A 22,383-nucleotide genomic window follows, 5' to 3' on the forward strand; every position below is an offset into this window, starting at 1 on the left:
TGGTAATGATCATTCTACTCTCTGTTTTTATGAGATCCACTTCTTTAGCTCCTACATATGAGTGAGAAGATGGGATATTTGTCTCTCTGTTCTTGGCTTATTTCACTTAACATAATGGTTCCATCCGTGATACTGCAGATGACAGGATTTCATTATTTCTCATGTCTAAACAACATTCCATTGTGTATATATACACCACATTTTCTTTATCGATTTGTATGTTGATGGGCACTTAGGTTGACTTCATATTTTGGGTATTGTGAATAATGCTGCAACAAATATGGGAGTGCACATATCCCTTTGATATATTGATTTCCTTTCTTTTGGATATGTTCCAAGTAGTAGAATTGTTGGATCATATAGTAGTTCTATTTTTAGTCTTTTGAGGAACCTCCATAATGTTCTCCATAATGGATGTACTAATTTACATTCCTACCAACAGTTGGACGAGGGTTCCTCTTTCTCCACATTGTTGCCAGCATCTGTTATTGCCTGTCTTTTTGATATAAGCCATTTTAACCGGGGTAAGATGATATCTCATTGTGGTTTTGATTTGCATTTCTCTGATGATTAGTGATATTGGGCACTTTTTTCATATACCTGTTGGCCATTTGCATGTCTTCTTTTGAGAATTGTCTATTCAGATCTTTTGCCCATTTTTGGTTGGATTATTTGTTTTTTTTAATTGCTGTTGAGTTGTTTGAGATCCTTATATATTCTGGTTATTAATCTTTTGCCAGACAGATAGTTTGCAAATTTTTTTTCCATTCTATGTGTCGTCTCTTCACCTTGTTCTTACCCTTGTGGCATGGAAGCTTTGTAACTTTTATTTATTTATTTATTTATTTTTTTATTATTATACTTTAAGTTTTAGGGTACATGTGCACATTGTGCAGGTTAGTAACATACGTATACATGTGCCATGCTGGTGTGCTGCACCCACTAACTCGTCATCTAGCATTAGGTATATCTCCCAATGCTATCCCTCCCCCCTCCCCCCACCCCACAACAGTCCCCAGAGTGTGATGTTCCCCTTCCTGTGTCCATGTGATCTCATTGTTCAATTCCCACCAATGAGTGAGAATATGCGGTGTTTGGTTTTTTGTTTTTGCGATAGTTTACTGAGAATGATGATTTCCAATTTCATCCATGTCCCTACAAAGGACATGAACTCATCATTTTTTATGGCTGCATAGTATTCCATGGTGTATATGTGCCACATTTTCTTAATCCAGTCTATTATTGTTGGACATTTGGGTTGGTTCCAAGTCTTTGCTATTGTGAATAATGCCGCAATAAACATACGTGTGCATGTGTCTTTATAGCAGCATGATTTATAGTCCTTTGGGTATATACCCAGTAATGGGATGGCTGGGTCAAATGGTATTTCTAGTTCTAGATCCCTGAGGAATCGCCACACTTACTTCCACAATGGTTGAACTAGTTTACAGTCCCACCAACAGTGTAAAAGTGTTCCTATTTCTCCACATCCTCTCCAGCACCTGTTGTTTCCTGACTTTTTAATGATTGCCATTCTAACTGGTGTGAGATGGTATCTCATTGTGGTTTTGATTTGCGTTTCTCTGATGGCCAGTGATGGTGAGCATTTTTTCATGTGTTTTTTGGCTGCATAAATGTCTTCTTTTGAGAAGTGTCTGTTCATGTCCTTTGCCCACTTTTTGATGGGGTTGTTTGTTTTTTTCTTGTAAATTTGTTTGAGTTCATTGTAGATTCTGGATATTAGCCCTTTGTCAGATGAGTAGGTTGCAAAAATTTTCTCCCATTTTGTAGGTTGCCTGTTCACTCTGATGGTAGTTTCTTTTGCTGTGCAGAAGCTCTTTAGTTTAATTAGATCCCGTTTGTCAATTTTGTCTTTTGTTGCCATTGCTTTTGGTGTTTTAGACATGACGTCCTTTCCCATGCCTATGTCCTGAATGGTAATGCCTAGGTTTTCTTCTAGGGTTTTTATGGTTTTAGGTCTAACGTTTAAGTCTTTAATCCATCTTGAATTGATTTTTGCATAAGGTGTAAGGAAGGGATCCAGTTTCAGCTTTCTACATATGGCTAGCCAGTTTTCCCAGCACCATTTATTAAATAGGGAATCCTTTCCCCATTGCTTGCTTTTCTCAGGTTTGTCAAAGATCAGATAGTTGTAGATACACGGTGTTATTTCTGAGGGCTCTGTTCTGTTCCATTGATCTATATCTCTGTTTTGGTACCAGTACCATGCTCTTTTGGTTACTGTAGCCTTGTAGTATAGTTTGAAGTCAGGTAGTGTGATGCCTCCAGCTTTGTTCTTTTGGCTTAGGATTGACTTGGTGATGCGGGCTCTTTTTTAGTTCCATATGAACTTTAAAGTAGTTTTTTCCAATTCTGTGAAGAAAGTCATTGGTAGCTTGATGGGGATGGCATTGAATCTGCAAGTTACCTTGGGCAGTATGGCCATTTTCACGATATTGATTCTTCCCACCCATGAGCATGGAATGTTCTTCCATTTGTTTGTATCCTCTTTTATTTCCTTGAGCAGCAGTTTGTAGTTCTCCTTGAAGAGGACCTTCACATCCCTTGTAAGTTGGATTCCTAGGTGTTTTATTCTCTTTGAAGCAATTGTGAATGGGAGTTCACTCATGATTTGGCTCTCTGTTTGTCTCTTGTTGGTGTATAGGAATGCTTGTGAATTTTGCACATTGATTTTGTATCCTGAGACTTTGCTGAAGTTGCTTATCAGCTTAAGGAGATTTTGGGCTGAGACAGTGGGGTTTTCTAGATATACAATCATGTCATCTGCAAACAGGGACAATTTGACTTCCTCTTTTCCTAATTTAATACCCTTTATTTCCTTCTCCTGCCTAATTGCCCTGGCCAGAACTTCCAACACTATGAATAGGAGTGGTGAGAGAGGGCATCCCTGTCTTGTGCCAGTTTTCAAAGGGAATCCTTCCAGTTTTTGCCCATTCAGTATGATATTGGCTGTGGGTTTGTCATAGATAGCTCTTATTATTTTGAAATATGTCCCATCAATACCTAATTTATTGAGAGTTTTTAGCATGAAGGTTGTTGAATTTTGTCAGAGGCCTTTTCTGCATGTATTGAGATAATCATGTGGTTTTTGTCTTTGGCTCTGTTTATATGCTGGATTACATTTATTGATTTGCGTATATTGAACCTGCCTTGCATCCCAGGGATGAAGCCCACTTGATCATGGTGGATAAGCTTTTTGATGTGCTGCTGGATTCTGTTTTCCAGTATTTTATTGAGGATTTTTGCATCAATGTTCATCAAGGATATTGGTCTAAAATTCTCTTTTTTGGTTGTGACCCTGCCCGGCTTTGGTATCAGAATGATGCTGGCCTCATAAAATGAGTTAGGGAGGATTCCCTCTTTTTCTATTGATTGGAATAGTTTCAGAAGGAATGGTACCAGTTCCTCCTTGTATCTCTGGTAGAATTCGGCTGTGAATCCATTTGGTCCTGGACTCTTTTTGGCTGGTAAGCTATTGATTATTGCCACAATTTCAGCTCCTGTTATTGGTCTATTCAGCGATTCAACTTCTTTCTGGTTTAGTCTTGGGAGAGTGTATGTGTCAAGGAATTTATCCATTTCTTCTAGATTTTCTAGTTTATTTGCACAGAGGTGTTTGTAGTATTCTCTGATGGTAGTTTGTATTTCTGTGGGATCAGTGGTGATATCCCCTTTATCATTTTTTATTGCGTCTATTTGATTCTTCTCTCTTTTTTTTTTATTAGTCTTGCTAGCGGTCTATCAATTTTGTTGATCCTTTCAAAAAACCAGCTCCTGGATTCATTAATTTTTTGAAGGGTTTTTTTGTGTCTCTATTTCCTTGAGTTCTGCTCTGATTTTAGTTATTTCTTGCCTTCTGCTAGCTTTTGAATATGTTTGCTCTTGCTTTTCTAGTTCTTTTAATTGTGATGTTAGGGTGTCAATTTTGGATCTTTCCTGCTTTCTCTTGTGGGCATTTAGTGCTATAAATTTCCCTCTACACACTGCTTTGAATGCGTCCCAGAGATTCTGGTATGTTGTGTCTTTGTTCTCGTTGGTTTCAAAGAACATCTTTATTTCTGCCTTCATTTCGTTATGTACCCAGTAGTCATTCAGGAGCAGGTTGTTCAATTTCCATGTAGTTGAGCGGTTTTGAGTGAGATTGTTAATCCTGAGTTCTAGTTTGATTGCACTGTGGTCTGAGAGATAGTTTGTTATAATTTCTGTTTTTTTACATTTGCTGAGGAGAGCTTTACTTCCAAGTATGTGGTCAATTTTAGAATAGGTGTGGTGTGGTGCTGAAAAAAATGTATATTCTGTTGATTTGGGGTGGAGAGTTCTGTAGATGTGTATTAGGTCCGCTTGGTGCAGAGCTGAGTTCAATTCCTGGGTATCCTTGTTGACTTTTTGTCTCGTTGATCTGTCTAATGTTGACAGTGGGGTGTTAAAGTCTCCCATTATTAATGTGTGGGAGTCTAAGTCTCTTTGTAGGTCACTCAGGACTTGCTTTATGAATCTGGGTGCTCCTGTATTGGGTGCATATATATTTAGGATAGTTAGCTCTTCTTGTTGAATTGATCCCTTTACCATTATGTAATGGCCTTCTTTGTCTCTTTTGATCTTTGTTGGTTTAAAGTCTGTTTTATCAGAGACGAGGATTGCAAACCCTGCCTTTTTTTTGTTTTCCATTTGCTTGGTAGATCTTCCTCCATCCTTTTATTTTGAGCCTATATGTGTCTCTGCACGTGAGATGGGTTTCCTGAATACAGCACACTGATGGGTCTTGACTCTTTATCCAATTTGCCAGTCTGTGTCTTTTAATTGGAGCATTTAGTCCATTTACATTTAAAGTTAATAGTGTTATGTGTGAGTTTGATCCTGTCATTATGATGTTAGCTGGTTATTTTGCTCGTTAGTTGATGCAGTTTCTTCCTAGTCTCGATGGTCGTTACATTTTGGCATGATTTTGCAGCGGCTGGTACTGGTTGTTCCTTTCCATGTTTACTGCTTCCTTCAGGAGCTCTTTTCGGGCAGGCCTGGTGGTGACAAATCTCTCAGCATTTGCTTGTCTGTAAAGTGTTTTATTTCTCCTTCACTTATGAAGCTTAGTTTGGCTGGATATGAAATTCTGGGTTGATAATTCTTTTCTTTAAGAAGGTTGAATATTGGCCCCCACTCTCTTCTGGCTTGTAGGGTTTCTGCCGAGAGATCTGCTGTTAGTCTGATGGGCTTCCCTTTGAGGGTAACCCGACCTTTCTCTCTGGCTGCCCTTAACATTTTTTCCTTCATTTCAACTTTGGTGAATCTGACAATTATGTGTCTTGGAGTTGCTCTTCTCGAGGAGTATCTTCGTGGCGTTCTCTGTATTTCCTGAATCTGAACTTTGGCCTGCCTTGCTAGATTGGGGAAATTCTCCTGGATAATATCCTGCAGAGTGTTTTCCAACTTGGTTCCATTCTCCACATCACTTTCAGGTACACCAATCAGACGTAGATTTGGTCTTTTCACATAGTCCCATATTTCTTGGAGGCTTTGTTCGTTTCTTTTTATTCTTTTTTCTCTAAACTTTCCTTCTCGCTTCATTTCATTCATTTCATCTTCCATTGCTGATACCCTTTCTTCCAGTTGATTGCATTGGCTCCTGAGGCTTCTGCATTCTTCACGTAGTTCTCGAGCCTTGGTTTTCAGCTCCATCAGCTCCTTTAAGCACTTCTCTGTATTGGTTATTCTAGTTATACATTCTTCTAAATTTTTTTCAAAGTTTTCAACTTCTTTGCCTTTGATTTGAATGTCCTCCCGTAGCTCAGAGTAGTTTGATCGGCTGAAGCCTTCTTCTCTCAGCTCGTCAAAGTCATTCTCCGTCCAGCTTTTTTCCGTTGCTGGTGAGGAGCTGCATTCCTTTGGAGGAGGAGAGGTGCTCTGATTTTTAGAGTTTCCAGTTTTTCTGTTCTGTTTTTTCCCCATCTTTGTGGTTTTATCTGCTTCTGGTCTTTGATGATGGTGATATACAGATGGGTTTTTGGTGTGGATGTCCTTTCTCTTTGTTAGTTTTCCTTCTAACAGACAGGACCCTCAGCTGCAGGTCTGTTGGAGTACGCTGCAGTGTGAGGTGTCAGTGTGCCCCTGCTGCAGAGTGCCTCCCAGTTAGGCTTCTCGGGGGTCAGGGGTCAGGGACCCACTTGAGGAGGCAGTCTGCCCGTTCTCAGATCTCCAGCTGCGTGCTGGGAGAACCACTGCTCTCTTCAAAGCTGTCAGACAGGGACATTTAAGTCTGCAGAGGTTACTGCTGTCTTTTTGTTTGTCTGTGCCCTGCCCCCAGAGGTGGAGCCTACAGATTGATCTCAGACTGCTGTGCTAGCAATCAGCGAGACTCTGTGGGGTAGAACCCTCTGAGCGAGGTGCGGGATATAATCTCATGGTGCGCCGTTTTTTAAGCCTGTCGGAAAAGTGCAGTATTCAGGTGGGAGTGACCCGATTCTCCAGGTGCCGTCCGTCACCCCTTTCTTTGATTAGGAAAGGGAACTCCCTGACCCCTTGTGCTTCCCGAGTAAGGCAATGCCTCACCCTGCTTCGGCTCACGCATGGTGCGCGCACCCACTGACCTGCGCCCACTGTCTGGCACTCCCGAGTGAGGTGAACCTGGTACCTCAGATGGAAATGCAGAAATCACCCGTCTTCTGTGTCACTCAGGCTGGGAGCTGTAGACCGGAGCTGTTCCTATTCGGCCATCTTGGCTCCTCCCCCGGAAGCTTTGTAACTTGATATAATTCCATTTGTCTATTTTTGTTTTGGTTGAGTATGCTTTTGACATTTTACACAAAAAAGTTTGCCCAGATAAATGTCATGGAGTGTTTCCCCAATGTTTTCTTCTAGTAGTTTCATAGTTTTGGGTCTTAGATTTAACTCTTTAATCAATGTTGGTTTGATTTTGTGTATGGTGAGAGATAGTGGTCTAGTTTCCTTTTCTCCATATAGTTATTTAGTTTTGCCAGCATGATTTATTGAAAAAGATGTCATCTTCCCACTTTTTGTTCTTGGTGCTTTTGCCTTTGCTGAAGTAGAGTTGGCTGTAAATGTGTGGATTTTCATCTGGGCTCTCTGTTGCATTCATTTTGTCTATGTGTGTGTGTGTTTTATGTCAGTACCATGTGGTTTTGGTTAATATAGCTTTGTAGTAAATTTTGAAATAAGGTAGTGTGATGCCTCCAGGTTTCTTCTTTTTGCTCAGGATTGCTTTGGTTTTTCAGGGTCTTTTGTGGTTCTAGAAATATTTAGGATTATTTACGATCCTATGATATACCCAAAGGATTATAAATCATTCTATGAAGAGACATGCACATGTATGTTTATTGCAGTACTATTCACAATAGCAAAGACATGGAATCAACCCAATGCCCATCAATGATAGACTGGATAAAGAAGGTGTGATACGTATACACCATGGAATACTATGCAGCCATAAAAAAGGATGAGTTCATGTCCTTTGCAGGGACATGGATGAAGCTAGAAACCATCATTCTCAGCAAACATAACACAGGAACAGAAAACCAAACATCACATGTTCTCACTAATAAGTGGAAGTTGAACAATGAGAAGAGATGGACACAGAGTGGGGAACATCACACACTGGGGCCTGTCGGGGGGTTGGGGGCAAGGGGAGGGATAGCATTAGGAGAAATACCTAATGTAGATGATGGGTTGATGAGTGCAGCAAACCACCATGGCACATGTATACCTATGTAACAAACCTGCATGTTCTGCACATGTATCCCAGAACTTAAAAAGAAAAAAAGATTACACTGGTTCTGTCAATTGCTTTGGGTAGTATTTTCATTTTAAGAATATTTGTTTTTTTTAATTCAGGAACATAGAATATCTTTTTTTGGTATCCTCTTAAATTACTTTATGAGAGTTGTATAGCTTTTCTTGTAGAGATCTTTCAATTCTTTAGTTAGATTGATTGCTAGGCATTTTATATTTTTTGTGGCTGTTGTAAATGGGATTGATTTCTTGATTTCTTTTTCAGATTGTTTATTGTTGGTATTTATAAAGGATACTAATTTTAATACATTGATTTCATGTCCTGCAACTTTACTGAATTTCTTTATCAGCTCTAACAGTTTTTTTAATGGAATCTTTATGTTTTTCATGTTTTTATGAACAAGGTTAATTTGAATTTTTTCTTTCTAATTTAGATGCCCTTTATTTCATTCTCTTGCCTAATTGTTCTCTCCAGGACTTCCAGTATTATGTTGAATAACAGTGGTGATGCTGGGCATCCTTATTTTGCTCCAGTTCTTAGAGAAAAGACTTAATTTTTTTTTCCCATTCAGCACAATGTTGGCTGTGGGGTTGTTATATATGGCTATTATTATTTGAGGTATGTTCTATCTATACCCACTTTGAGAGTTTTTATCATAAAGGATTTTGAAATTTATTGAATGCTTTTTCAGTGTCTATTGAAAAATTATATATTTTTTGTTCTTGATTTTGTTAATATCATGCATTATGTTTATTGACTTGCATATGACAAACCATCTTTGCATTGCTGGAATGAATCCCACTTGATTATGGTGAATGATCTCCTTCATGAATTACTGCATTCTATTTGCTAGTATTTTGTTGAGGATTTTTGCATTGATGTTCATCAGTGATACGGGCCTATATATATTTTTTGCTGTGTCCCTGTCTAATTGTGTATCAGGGTAATGCTGGCCTTATGCAATGGGTTTGGAAGTGTTTCTTTCTCTTTAATTTTTTTGAAGAGTTTGAGTAAAACTGGTATTAGTTGTTCTTTAAATGTTTGGTAGAAATCAGCAATGAAGCCATCAGGTACTGGGCTTTTCTTTCATAGGAGACTTTTTGTTATGGCTTTGTTCTCATTGCTTGTTATTGTTTTGTTGAAATTTTTCTATTTCTTCATGTTTCAATATTAGTAAGTTATATTTCTCTAGGAATGTATTCATTTCTTCTAGATTTTCCAATTTGTTGGCACATAGTTGTTCATAATAGTCTCTAATGATTCTTCGTATTTCTGAGGTCTGAGTTGTTATGTCTCATTTTTCATCTTTGACTTCGTTTTTGAAGGGCTTCTCTTTTTTTTCTTAGCCTAGCTTAATGTTTTTCAATTTTGTTTATCTTTTAAAGACCTTTTCATTGTGTTGATTTTCTGTGATTTCCTTTGTTTCAATTTTATTTATTTTTATGCTGACTTTTATTCTTTCTTCTACTAATTTGGATTTGGTTTGTTACTGCTTTTTTAGTTCCTTGATATGCACTATTAAGTTATTTATTTGAAGTAATTCTACTTTTTTGATCTAGGCATCTATTGACATAAAATTCCCTCTTCATACTGCTTTTCCCATATTCTATAGATTTTGGTATGTGATTTTTTTTCATTTTCATTTGTTTCAAGAAATTTAAAAGTTTCCTTCTTAACTTCTTTTTGTAACTTCTATTTTAAGTTCAGACATAAAAGTGCAGGTTTGTTACGTAGTTAAACTTGTGCCATGGGGTTTGTTGTAGAGATTATTTCATCATTCAGGTATTAAGCCTATTACCCATTTGTTATTTTTTCTGATCCTCCCTCTCCTCCCACCTGCCACCTTCCAAAAGGCCTCTGGTGTGTGTTGTTCCTCTCTATGTGTTCATGTGTTCTCATCAGTTAGCTCCTATTTAGAAGTGAGAACATGTGGTATTTGGTTTTCTGTTCTTGTGTTAGTTTGCTAAAGACAAGGCTTAAAATAAAGGGGTGAAGGAAAATCTACAAGGCCAATGGAAAACAGAAGAAAGTAGGGGTTTCAATCCTAGTTTCTGACAAAATAGACTTTAATCCAAAAAAGATCATAAGAGACAAAGAAGGGAACTACATAATGGTAAAGGGTTCAATTCTCCAAGACTATCTTAACTTCTTTATTGATCTATTGGTTGTTCAGAAGCATGTTGCTTGATTTCCATGTGTTTGTGCATTTTCTGAGGTTCTTCTTGGTATTGGTTTTTAGTTTTATCCCATTTTGGTCAGAAAAGATATTTGATATTTCTATTTTTTTGAATTTGTTCAGACCTGTTTTGTGGCCTAAGATATGGTCTATTCTGGAGCATGTCCCATGTCCTGATGAAAACATTATGTCTTCTGCAGCAGTTGGGTGAAATGTTCTGTAAATGTTAATTAGGCCTATTAGATCTAGTGTGTAGTTTAATTTTTTTGTTTCTTTGTTGATTTTCTGTCTGGATGATCTGTCCATTACTGAGAGTGGGGTGTTAAAGTCTCCTACTGTTATTGTATTGCAGCCTCTCCTTTTAGATCTATTAAAGTTTTCTTTATATACTTGGGAATTCCAGTATTGGGTGTGTAGATTTTTATGATTGGTATATACTCTTGTTGAGTTGACCACTTTATCATTCTATAGTACTTTTTTGTCTCTTTTTACTAAAATAGTTGACTCATCTATTTTATTTAAGTATAATTACTCTTCCTCATTTATCACTAAAAAAATTTTTTTTTTTGAAACAGAGTCTCGCGCTGTCGCCAGGCTGGAGTACAGTGTCACAATCTCGGCTGACTGCAACCTCTGCCTCCCGGGTTCAAGTGATTCTCCTGCCTCAGCCTCCCCAGTAACTGGGACTACAGGCACACGCCACCACGCCCAGCTAATTTTTGTATTTTTAGTAGAGACAGGGTTTCACCATGTTGGCCAGGATGGTCTTGATCTCTTGACCTTGTGATCCTCCCACCTCAGCCTCCAAAAGTGCTGGGATTACTGGCATGAGCCACTGCACCCAGCCTCATTTATCATTTTAAGTTGAATGGAATATCTTTTTCCATCTGCTCATTTTCAGTCTATTTGCATCTTTCTAGGTGAAGTGGGTTTCTTGAAGGCAGCATATGATTGGGTTTGGGTTCTTTATCCATTCAACCATTCTATTTTTGAATTGGAGAATTGATTCCATTTACATTCAGTGTTATTATTGATAAGAAAGATTTATGACTGCCATTTTGTTACTTGCTTTCTGGTTGTTTTGAGACTCCTCTTTTCTCTTCTTCTTCTTCTTCCTCTTCCTCTTCTTCTTCTATTTTTTTGTTTTTTTAGATGGAGTCTCTCTCTGTTGCCAGGCTGGATCTCAGCTCACTGCAACCTCTGCCTCCTGGGTTCAAGTGATTCTCCTGCCTCAGCCTCCCAAGTAGCTGGGATTACAGGCACATGCCATCACACCCAGCTAATTTTTGTATTTTTAGTAGAGACAGGGTTTCACCATGTTGGCCAGGATGGTCTCGATCTCTTGACCTTGTGATCCACCCGCCTCAGCCTCCCTGCTGGGATTGCAGGTGTGAGCCACCGCACCCAGCCATTCCTTTCTTCTTTTCTTCCTGTCTTCCTTTGTTGCTAAGTGATTTTCTGTGGTAATATGTTTGAATTCATTGCTTTTTCTTTTTTTTTTATTTTTTCTTTTTCTTATTTTTTTTTGAGATGGAGTCTTGCTCTGTCACCCAGGCTGGAATGCAGTGGCGTGATCTCCGCTCACTGCAAGCTCTGCCTCCTGGGTTCACGCCATTCTCCTGCCTTAGCCTCCCAAGTAGCTGGGACTACAGGCGCCTGCCACCACGCCCGGCTAATTTTTTGTATTTTTAGTAGAGACGGGGTTTCACCGTGTTAGCTAAGATGGTCTCGATCTCCTGACCTCATGATCCCTCTGCCTCAGCTTCCCAAAGTGCTGGGATTACAGGTGTGAGCCACTGTGCTGGGATTACAGGTGTGAGCCACTGTGCCTGGCCTGCTTTTTCTTTTTCGTTAATCTATTGTATGTTTTTGTGCTGTGGTTATCATGAGTCTTTCAAAAAACATCTTATAGTAATAACAAGTTATTTTAAAGAGATGACAACATATCTTTGATCAAAAATATAAGAATGTAAACAAGCACACAAAAATTCTATTCTTTAACTTTATCCCCCTACCCACTTTGACTTTTAGTTGTCTCAAGTTACACTTTTTATATTATCAATCTCTTAACAGATTGCTGTAGCTATTTTTATTTTTGATAGATTTGTCTTTGTGGCTTTATACTAGAGTTATGAATGGATTGTCCACCAGCATTACAGTAACAGAGTATTCTGGTTTTGTTTCTTTACTTAATTTCACCGGTGAGTTTCATACCTTGAAAAGTTTTCTTTTTGCACATTAGTGGTTTTTTTTTCCAAAAGGAAAAAATTCCTTTTGCATTTTATGTAAGATGGGTCTGGTGGTGGTGAATTCTCTCAGGTTTTGTTTGTCTGGGAAAGACTTTACCTCTGCTTTTTAGTTTAAGGATAATTTTGCTGGAAATAATATTCTTAGATGGCAGTTGTTTGAAAATGTTATTCCACTTCTTCCTGGCCTATATGGTTTCTGTTGAGAAGTCTGTTGCCAGACAAATTGGAACTTTTTAATATGTTATTTACTTATTTTCTCTTGCTGCTTTTAAGATCCTCCTTTGTCCTTGACCTTTGCAAGTTTGATTGTAATAAGCCTCAGGATACTTTTATTTGTATTTAATCTGTTTAGTGTTCTCAGACCTTCCTGAACTTGGATATTTACATCTTTTTCAAGTTTTGGAAAATTTTCTGCTATTATTTATTTGAATAAGCTTTCTATCCTTGGGTCTTGCTTAACTCCCTGTTGAACATTAATACTTCTTAGATTTGGTCTTTTGAGATAATTTTCTATCTATTATGGGTAATTGTCATTCCTTTCCGTTTTTAAACATTTTCTCTCCTCTGACTGCGTATTTTTCATTAGGCAATGTTTCAAGTTCACTGGTTCTTTCCTTTGCTAGGTTCATTCTGCCATTGAGAGCCTCTAATGAGTTCTTCAGCTCAGCAAATGTGTTTACCAGTTCCATAATTTCTGTTTTGTTTTTCAAAATTATTTCAATCTCTTTGTTAAATTTTCTGATACATTTTTGAATTGCTTTTCTGTCTAATGGATATCACTGAGTTTCCTTAAAACTGCTATTTTGAATTCTTGGAGAGCTCACAAATCACTATCTTGTTAGGGTCAGTAATTGAATTCTTGTTTGTTTTTTTGGGGGAAGGTCATAGTTTGCTGTTGTTTCTTGTGCATATATGTCTATGTCTTTGCATTGAAAGATTATTTATTTAGTCCAGCTTTCTGTGTTTAGCTTGTTCTCAATTTTTATTGGATATATTCAGCATCCTCAAGTGGAGGATGATGAATTTGATCAGATACAAAGAATGATCAGATATCAAAGATGGGAGATTCTTGCTAAACTGACTTAAAAGAATTCTTGCTAAAACCGAGCTGTGCAAAGACAAACACAGAAGCCCAAAAGTGAAGACCTTCACAAGAAAATGACTCAGAGGAGCCTGACTAAATTTGGTCAAGGAGAGACTCTTTTTCAATGGAAATATAAAAAATTATCCCTCGCTCTATATCTGTTTGGGCTCCTTAGCTGCCACCATCCCCCAGATGATGTCTGATCACCTGGGCCTGCTTTCAGCAAGAATCCTGTTAGGTTAACTTAACCAAAATCTCATTGATGTTTCCTCTTAGTAATTTTCTATCCACTGACCCCCACTCTGCTCCTTGGCTATAAATTTCCATGTGCTCATGCTGTATTCATAGTTGACCCCAATCTCACCCCACTGCAGAATTCAACTCCAGTTGCCGAGACCAACTCGGTCATGGAGCCCCCAACCCAGTGGCGCTAGAGGAATAAAGACAAAGACACAGAAATAGGGTGCAAAGTGGGATCAAGGGGCTAATAGCCTTCAGAGCTGAGAGCCTCAAACAGAGTTTGACCCACCTATTTATTGACAGTAAGCCCGTGATAAACATCATTTCTGCAGTTTTTAGATTAACTAAAAGTATTCTTTACAGAGAACAAAGGGACAGGCTCTGGCTTGTTATCTGCAGCAGGGACATGTCCTTAAGGCACAGATCACTCTTGTTTGTGGTTTAGGAATGCCTTGAGCGGTTTTCCACCCTGGGTGGGCCAGGCGTTCCTTACCCTCATTCCCTTAAACCAGCAACCTCCAGCGTGAGCATCATAGCCATCACAAGCAGGTCACAGTGCTGCAGAGATCTTGTTTATGGCCAGTCTTGGGGCCTGTTTCCAGCATCCAGTGGTCCCTGTATTGATTGCTGTAGTCCTGAATAAAGTCTTCCTTACCATGCTTTAATAAGTGTCATTGAACAATTCTTTCTTTAATGCCCACTGCCTGATTGGTTACTTTTTTCCACAAAACTTCCCTGACCTACCATATATTTATTTTAAAAATTTATCTGTGTCTCTCCACAGAATACAAGCTTCAGAAGAAGGCTCTTTGCCTGCATTTCTTTGCAGTACTCCCAAAACCTAGAATGATGCCTGCATATAGTGATTGTTATGTTTTGAATCAATGAAAAAAAGCCAGTGAACCATAAACCTATTCCTTTTTTTCCCTATTCTTGTTGTCATCAAAACTTAAGATCTCTTAGCCCTTATCTTGCTGCCTCCATAGCCATCCCCATTGCAGCAGTTGCTGAATCTGTGAGATCTCTTAGTGTAGTATCTTTGGTATCTGTTCTTTGGTTCAGATTCCAAAATGATAGACGCTACTTCAGGCCCTCTTAAACTCTTGTCTGGATTAGGAATATAAACACATACTTTGCATTTTATATCTTTTACTTATCTATTTTGTTTATATAGTACTGTTACATTCTTTAGATTAAAAAAAAATCATAGCAGTCCTGGGAGGAAATTATATTTTAATTATATGGAGCTTTGGGAAGGCAGAAATTTGCCTTAGATGACTCATTTAGGGGCAGAGGTAGAACCTGATTCCCCTTTCCCCACCTTCTCTCCGTAGCCTCTTCCTTTATTATACCTTGTTACATTAATTTCCTGATTTTTATCACTTCTTCGCTTCAGAACTTTTGGGTTTTCATGGCTTACAGAGAAAGTATAGTCTTAGCCTGGCACTTAAGGCCTTTACTATTTGTTTCCAATCTATCATTTTTTTCATTCAAAATTATGTCCCACATTGTAAGCTTCAGGCAAAGTGACCTCTGTATAGTAACTTGGACAAATAACAAATCACTTGTTGTTTCTGTACTTTCGCTCTTGCTGTTCTCTCCACTTGACTGTTCTTAGCGGGTTAGATCATTCAAGGCTCACCTTCTCCACGAAGGTTTTTAAATATCCTCCTTTTTTTGATCTTAGCTGTACAAAAATGCCTTTTTATTCTGAACTCTAACCCTTTACCTGTAAGTCTTTTATAGCATTTAGAGAAGAATCTTGGAAAATAGTTATATGTATTCATTTTATCCCTGTAGGTCTATATCTTATTGCCCTGGAGCAGAAATAGTCACTGAAAAAATTTTGTTTACTGTGGTCCACTCTCATCTCCCAATATCAACTAATATGGACATTGCTTTGTACATATTAGCTCCTGATAGGTGGGTAGAACAAAAGATTTATCTTTTGGGTGAATTGAGACATATCATTTAACCTCATATAATTCGCTGAGAATACACCGTGTTAAAATTAGCTCAAGCAGAGCTAATGTGTGCCGCTCTCATGGAGAGGAATGGAGGGGGCGAGTAAATACAGCACCTTCAACTGAAACATCCAGGTACATGCATTGGGACTAATCAAGGAAACAACTTGTCCCATGGAGAATGGAGAAAAGCAAAGGCAGGATGACTGCCCACTTGGGACCAACATGGAGCCAGGGGAAACTCTCCCCACCAGGGAAACAATGAGTGAGTGAGCAACTCTGAGAACCCATGCTTCTTCCATGGATCTTTGCAACCCTCAGGTCAGAAGATCTTCTCATGAATGCGCTCCACCAGGACCTTCAGTCTGACATGCAGAGCTATGTGGTGGAGTCTTGGCAGAGCAGCTGCTCAGGCACACACAGAGCCTGAGGAGCCTTAGATATCCAGGCTTCCCAGCAAAAGCAGCTGCAGTTCCGGCAAAGTGGGAAGTTAAGACTCCTGTACATATCCCTAGGAAAGAGGCTGAATCCAGGGGGCTGAGCAGCGGTGGTGTGCAGGTCCTACTTCCATGGCATCTCACAGGGTAAGACCCGCTGGCTTGGAACTCTAGCCAGCCACCAGTAGCAGTGTTACACCTCCCTGATGTGTAACACTCAGAGGGAGGGGCAGGCTGCCATCTTTGCTTTGCTTTTTCACAGCCTCAGGCACTGTTGCCTTAGGGATATAGGGAGTCTGAGGCAACTAAGGACTGGAGGGGTCTCCCACCACAGCCCAGCGGCTGTACGGAGGAGCAGTCAGACTGCTTATTTGCGCACATCCCAAATCCTATTTCTCTTCACTGAGCGTTATCTCCAGATGGGGGTCTCCAGTCACCCCCACTGGTGTTTTCTGGCTGACAGCAGCTTCAGACCTCCCTGGGATGGAGCTCTCAGAAAAAGGGGTGGACTGCTATCTTTGCTCTTTCACAGCCTTAGCAGTTCTTGCCTTTGGGCTTTGGAGAGTCTGAGGCAACTAGAGGCTGGAGCGGACCCCCAGCACAGCACAGTTGCTCTACAGAAATGGCCAGACTGCTTTTTTTTACACAGGTCCCTGGCCCCATTCCTCTTCACTTGGCAGGATCTCCTTACCAGGCTTTCCAGCCACATATTGCAGGTGTGTTTGGGAAGGCAACAGGTTTGTACCTCCCTGGGATGGAGCTCCCAGAAGGAGGGACAGGCGCCATCTTTAGTATTTCATAGCCTTCACTATTGATACCTTCAGGAACCGAAAAATCCCAGGTGACTAGGGACTGGAGCAGATCCCAGCATACTGCAGCAGCCCTATGGAAAAGAGGCCAGATTGTTATGTGGGTGCCCACTTCCATATCTCCTCACTGGGTAGTTCTTCCAGGTCTGGGTCTCCAGCCACTGCCAACTGGGGCTATGGAGCCAGTGGCAGCTCTGCAACTCCCTGGACAAGAGCTCCCAGTGGGAGGGGCGGGTTGCCATTTTTGCTGTCTCACAGCCCTTGCCCTTGCTGTCTTCAGGCTCTGGAGAGTCATGGGGACCAAAGGCTGGTCCAGACCCCCACACAGAGCAACCATCTTACAGAAAAGTGGCCAGACTATTGTCCATGCAGATCTTGGTCCTCAGTTCTCCTCACGGGGCAGGGTTGCCCAGCTTGAGACTCTGGGACAATCACCCTGCCCCTGCCTGATCACCACAATCAGAGGCAGCCCAGCAGTTCTCCAAGGAGGAAATCCCAGAGTCCATTCACAACCCCTCCATTACTACAGTTGCAGTGGTACAGTCCTAACAGCCCTCAGACTGGGAAGAAACAAAGGGCTTAGTCATTATGCTGGCACCTCCAGCACGTCATAGCCACCATACGGAGAAGAGTCCAGTTCCTTTTCCCTGGGAACCCCCAACCCACACTCTTCATCAGGCAGGTCCCCTGGCTCATGAATGCAGAACAATCACCGCACCCATGGCTGAGCGTACCCACTGGTAGTGGCCTGGAGTTTCCCTAGGGAGAGGCTCCAAGAGGCATATGGCTGTCCCTCTGCCACTGCCACAGCAACAGTTCTATCCCTACTTCCCTCAGCCTGGGGAAGAAACAAAGAGCCTGAGGCCTATACCAAGTTTACAGCACACCACAGTCACCATGTGGAGAAGAGACCAATCTCTCCTCCTAGTGAGCCTTCAACTGCCTTTTTCCCCAGTAAGTGGAACCCCACGCTCATGCCAGCAGTGCAGCCATGCCACCCCACAGACTGAACACTCCCAGTAATAGCTGCTCTGTGTTTCTTGGGGGTGGAGCCCCCAGGGGCAACTAAAAGCCTGTCTGCCATTGCCTCTGATGTGGTACTACCCCTACTACTCTCAGACTAACAAAGGAGCAAGAAAATAAATGCCTTATCCACACTTCCAACAAGCTGCAGTCAACCCAAGGAGACGAGGCCAGTCTGTGTCCCATGGGTCCTGCCCATCCCCCCTGCTCATCACCAAGCAGGGAACCCACAACTTGGGCACAGAGCACACACTCTCTATCCTTGGCTGATTGCACTGTGAAATTGCTGACCTGCATCTCTCTGGGGTGGAGCCCCCAGGAGACAAGCAAAAGGCCCTTGGCCACAACCATTACTAAGGTCCCTTTCTCTGTCCTACTTAGGGAGGAAACATAAACCATGAGATCACCTCAAAGCTGTAGTGGGCAGCCTGGGAGTGCTAAACTGCAATGTACAGCCAACATTCATGTGGGCGAGGAGCCTACACTTTGAGAGCTTTGACAGGGAGCATGGTTGCAACTGTGAGGAAATATAGGGGAGCCACAAGAACTTACCAACTGACCACTACACCTAAGTGTCACCTACAGGATAACATTCGAAAGCTTCAACACCAAAAATATCTTACTGACATACACCCCTGCGAAACCAAAGATGAGAAGTCAGCTACAAATAAAGGCCCTGCACGAAGCCATGGCCTTGTGAAAACATCCAGAAAATAAGTCTATTGAAAGTAAACAATTTACACTGTAGTTAAAGGAACACCTAAACACAGAGGTGAGAAAGAATGAATGCAAGAATTCCAGTAACTCAAATGACCGGAGTGTCTTATGTCCTTCAAACGACCACACTAGATCTCCAACAAGGGTTCTTAACCAGGCTGAATTGGCTGAAATGACAGAAATGGAATTCAGAATATGACTAGGAATGAAGATCATTGAGATTCAGGAGAATGGCAAAACCCAATTCAAGGAAACTAAGAGTCACAATTAAATAATACAGGATCTGACATATGGAATAGCCGGTATAAAAAAGAACCTAACTGATTTGATAGAGCTGAAAAACACATTACAAGAATTTCACAATGCAATTGCAGGGATTAACAGCAAAATAGACCAAGCTGAGGAAAGAAACTCAGAAATTGAAGACTGGCTCTCTTAAATAAGACAGTCAGACAAAAATAAAGAAAAAAGAATGAAAAGGAATGAATAAACCTCTGAGAAATATAGGATTATGTAAGGAGGCCAAATCTACAAATCATTGGTATCCTAGAAAGGGAGAGGGAGAAAGCAGACAACTTGGAAAACATGTTTCAGGCTATCATCCATGAAAACTTCCCTAACCTTGCTAAAGAGGCCAAAAGTCAAATTCAGGAAATACAAAGAACCCCTGGAAGATTCTACATAAGAAGATTATCCCCAAGACACGTAGTCATCAGATTTTCCAAGGTCGAAATGAAAGAATGTTAAAGGCAGCTAGAGAGGAAGGGAAGGTCACCTATAAAGGGAACCCCATCACTCTAACAGCAAATCTCTCAGCAGAAACCCTACATACCAGAAGAGATTGGGGACCTATATTCGACATTCTTAAAGAAAAAAAATCTTTAACCAAGAATTTCATATCCAGCCAAACTAAGTTTGCTAAGTGAAGGAGAAATAAGATCCTTTTCATATAAGCAAATGTTGAGGGAGTTTGTTACAACCAGACCTGCCTTACAAGAGATCTTGAAAGGAGCACTAAATATAGAAAGGAAACACTGTTCCCAGCCAATACAAAAATGTGATTAAGTACACAGACCAGTTACACTATAAAGCAATCACACAAACAAGCCAGCATAATAAACAGCTAACAACACAATGTCATGATCAAATCCACACATATCAATACTAACCTTGAATGTAAATAGGCTAAATGCCCCATTTAAAAGGCACAGAGTGGCAAGCTGAAAAAAAAAAAACATGACTCAATTGTATGTTGTCTTTAAGAGACCCATCTCACATGTAATGGCACCCGTAAGCTCAAAATAAAGGGATGGAGTTAAATCTACCAAGCAAATGGAAATCAGAAAAAAGCAGGTGTTGCAATCCTAATTTCAGACAAAACAAACTTTAAACCAACAAAGATAAAAAAGAAGACAACGAAGTGCATTACATAATTGTAAAGGGTTTAATTAAACAAGTAGACCTAACTGTCCTAAATATAGATGCACCCAACACAGGAACTCCCAGATTCATAAAGCAAGTTATTATCTACCTACAAAGAGACCTAGACTCCCACACAATGATAGTGAAAGACTTCAGTACTCCACTGACAGTATTAGATGATTGGGGCAGAAAATTAATAAATATATCTAGGGCCTGAACTTAACATTCGACCAAATGAAACTAATAGACCTCTAGAGAACTTTCCATCCAAAAACAACAGAATGTACATATGAACAGAATGAAGATCATCGAGATTGAGGAGAATGGCAAAACCCAATTCAAAGAAACTAAGAATCACAAATAAATATTTTTCCTTGCCACATGGCATATACTCTAAAATTGACCACATAATTGGACATAAAACAATCCTCAGCAAATACAAAACAACCAAAATCATACTAAACACACTCTTGGACCACAGCACAATAAAAACAGATGTGAAGACTAAAAAAATCACTCAAAATCATGCAATTACATGGAAATTAAACAATATGCTCCTCAGTGACTTTTGGGTAAATAATGAAATTAAGGCAGAAGTCGAGGGGTTCTTTGAAACTAATGAGAATAAAGATACAACATACCAGAATCTCTGTGACACAGCTAAGGGTGTGTTAAAAGGGTAATTCATAGCGCTAAATGGCCACATCAAAAAGAAAGATCTCAAATTAGTAACCTAATATCACAACTGAAAGAATTAGAGAAGCAAGACCAACCAACCCCAAAGCTAGCAGAAGACAAGCAATAACCCAAATCAGAGCTTAAATGAAGGAAATTGAGACATGAAAAAATCATGCAAAAGATCAATAAATTTGAGTTGTTTTTTGCAAAAATTAATAAGCTAAATAGGTTGCTAGCTAAACTAATAAAGAAGACAAGAGAGAAGATCCAAATAAACACAATTAGAAATGACAAAGGGGACATTACCACTGACCCCACAGAAATAAAGATAACTATCAGAAACTACTACAAACACCTATATACACACAAACTATGAAACCTAGAAGAGAAGGCTATATTCCTGGGTACATACACCCTCCAAAGACTGAACCAGGAAGAAATAGATTCTCTGAACAGACCAATAACAAGCTTCAAAATAGAATCAGTAATAAATAGCCTACTTACAAAAAACAGCCTAGGACCAGACAGATTCACAGCTTAATTCTACCAGATTTACAGAGAGGTCCTGGTGCCAGTTTTGCCAAAACTATTCCAAAAAATTGAGAGGAGGGACTCCTCCACAACTCATTCTGTGAGGCCAGCATTATCCTGATACCAAAACCTGGCAGGGACACAATGGAAAAAGAAAACTTCAACTTAATATCCTTGATGAACAATGCTGGGTATATACTCAGAGGAATGTTGATCATTCTACCATAAAGACATATGCATGCTAATGTTCATTGCAGCACTAGTCACAATAACAAAGACATGGAATCAATCTAAATGCCCATCAATGACAGAATTGGATAAAGAAAATGTGGTACATACTCACTATGGAATACTATGCAGCCACAAAAAAGAACAAGATCATTTCTTTTATGGAACATGGATGGAGCTGGAGGCCATTATTCTTAGCAAACTAATTCAGAAATAGAAAACCAAATACTGCAGTTCTCACTTATAAGAGGGAGTTAAATGATGAGAACTCATGGACATAAAGAGAGGAACAAGAGACACTGGGGCCTAATTGAGAGTGGAGAGTGGGAAGAGAGAAGACCAGCAAAAATAACTAGGCTTAGTACCTGGATGATGAAATAATATGTTCAACAAACCCCCATGACACAAGTTTACCTATATAACAAACGTGTGTATGTACTCCTGAAACTAAAATAAAAGCTAAAAAAAAAAAAACTTTAAAAAATTAGCTAAAGCATTTATATGATAGTAAGTGGATTAATGAATTGCTATAGGGTGCTTACATTTCTTTTCAGAACCCTCTGAAATCTCAGTATGTTTTAATATATTTGAATGTTAAATAATCCTTAATTATCAAGACATCATTGACTTATTAATGAATATTTAATGAATTAAATGATTTAAATACTCTTATTTGAGTTTCTGAGTTAGAAGGCTTACATTTCATCTTTAGCCACTTGAAGTTTTAAGTAGTGAGCATTGAAACCCAACCTTTAACAAATAAAAGATGATATAAGTTGACAGCAGAAACAACACAGCAAACTTTTATTTTTTAAGGCACCTGTGATGCATCATACAGTGTTATATTCTAGTATTGGTCATATGTTGCCAATTGCTGTGACTTCTCTGTTACACAAGATGTCATAAGCCATTGTGCCAATTTGGAAATTAGGAAAATGCACTTACTAAAAATATCTGAAGAAATAATATTAACAGACACAACATTTTCAATATTTAGCAAGTTCTGTTGTTAAGTGGAGATGTAATCGATATCTTATATTGTACTAGTTTCCTGTGACTGTTC

General features: G+C 39.6%; 1 long non-coding RNA gene across 13 annotated transcripts in view, besides 2 other annotated features; it reads left to right on the plus strand.

Moving 5' to 3' along the window:
- Window positions 1-22,383, plus strand: part of LOC105370461 (uncharacterized) — a 433,650-nt gene that overhangs the window by 88,366 nt on the left and 322,901 nt on the right. The window lies entirely within an intron of this gene.
- Window positions 17,180-17,680: an enhancer, noted in NCBI's record as "H3K27ac hESC enhancer chr14:40007098-40007598 (GRCh37/hg19 assembly coordinates)". NCBI's record gives its function as "activates a minimal SCP1, AML or CMV promoter by ChIP-STARR-seq in primed H9 embryonic stem cells {active_cell/tissue: H9 hESC(primed)}" and the evidence as "EXISTENCE:reporter gene assay evidence [ECO:0000049][PMID:30033119]".
- Window positions 17,681-18,181: an enhancer, noted in NCBI's record as "H3K27ac hESC enhancer chr14:40007599-40008099 (GRCh37/hg19 assembly coordinates)". NCBI's record gives its function as "activates a minimal SCP1, AML or CMV promoter by ChIP-STARR-seq in primed H9 embryonic stem cells {active_cell/tissue: H9 hESC(primed)}" and the evidence as "EXISTENCE:reporter gene assay evidence [ECO:0000049][PMID:30033119]".

Source organism: Homo sapiens, chromosome 14, assembly GCF_000001405.40.
Source record: "Homo sapiens chromosome 14, GRCh38.p14 Primary Assembly".
Lineage (NCBI taxonomy): Eukaryota > Metazoa > Chordata > Mammalia > Primates > Hominidae > Homo > Homo sapiens.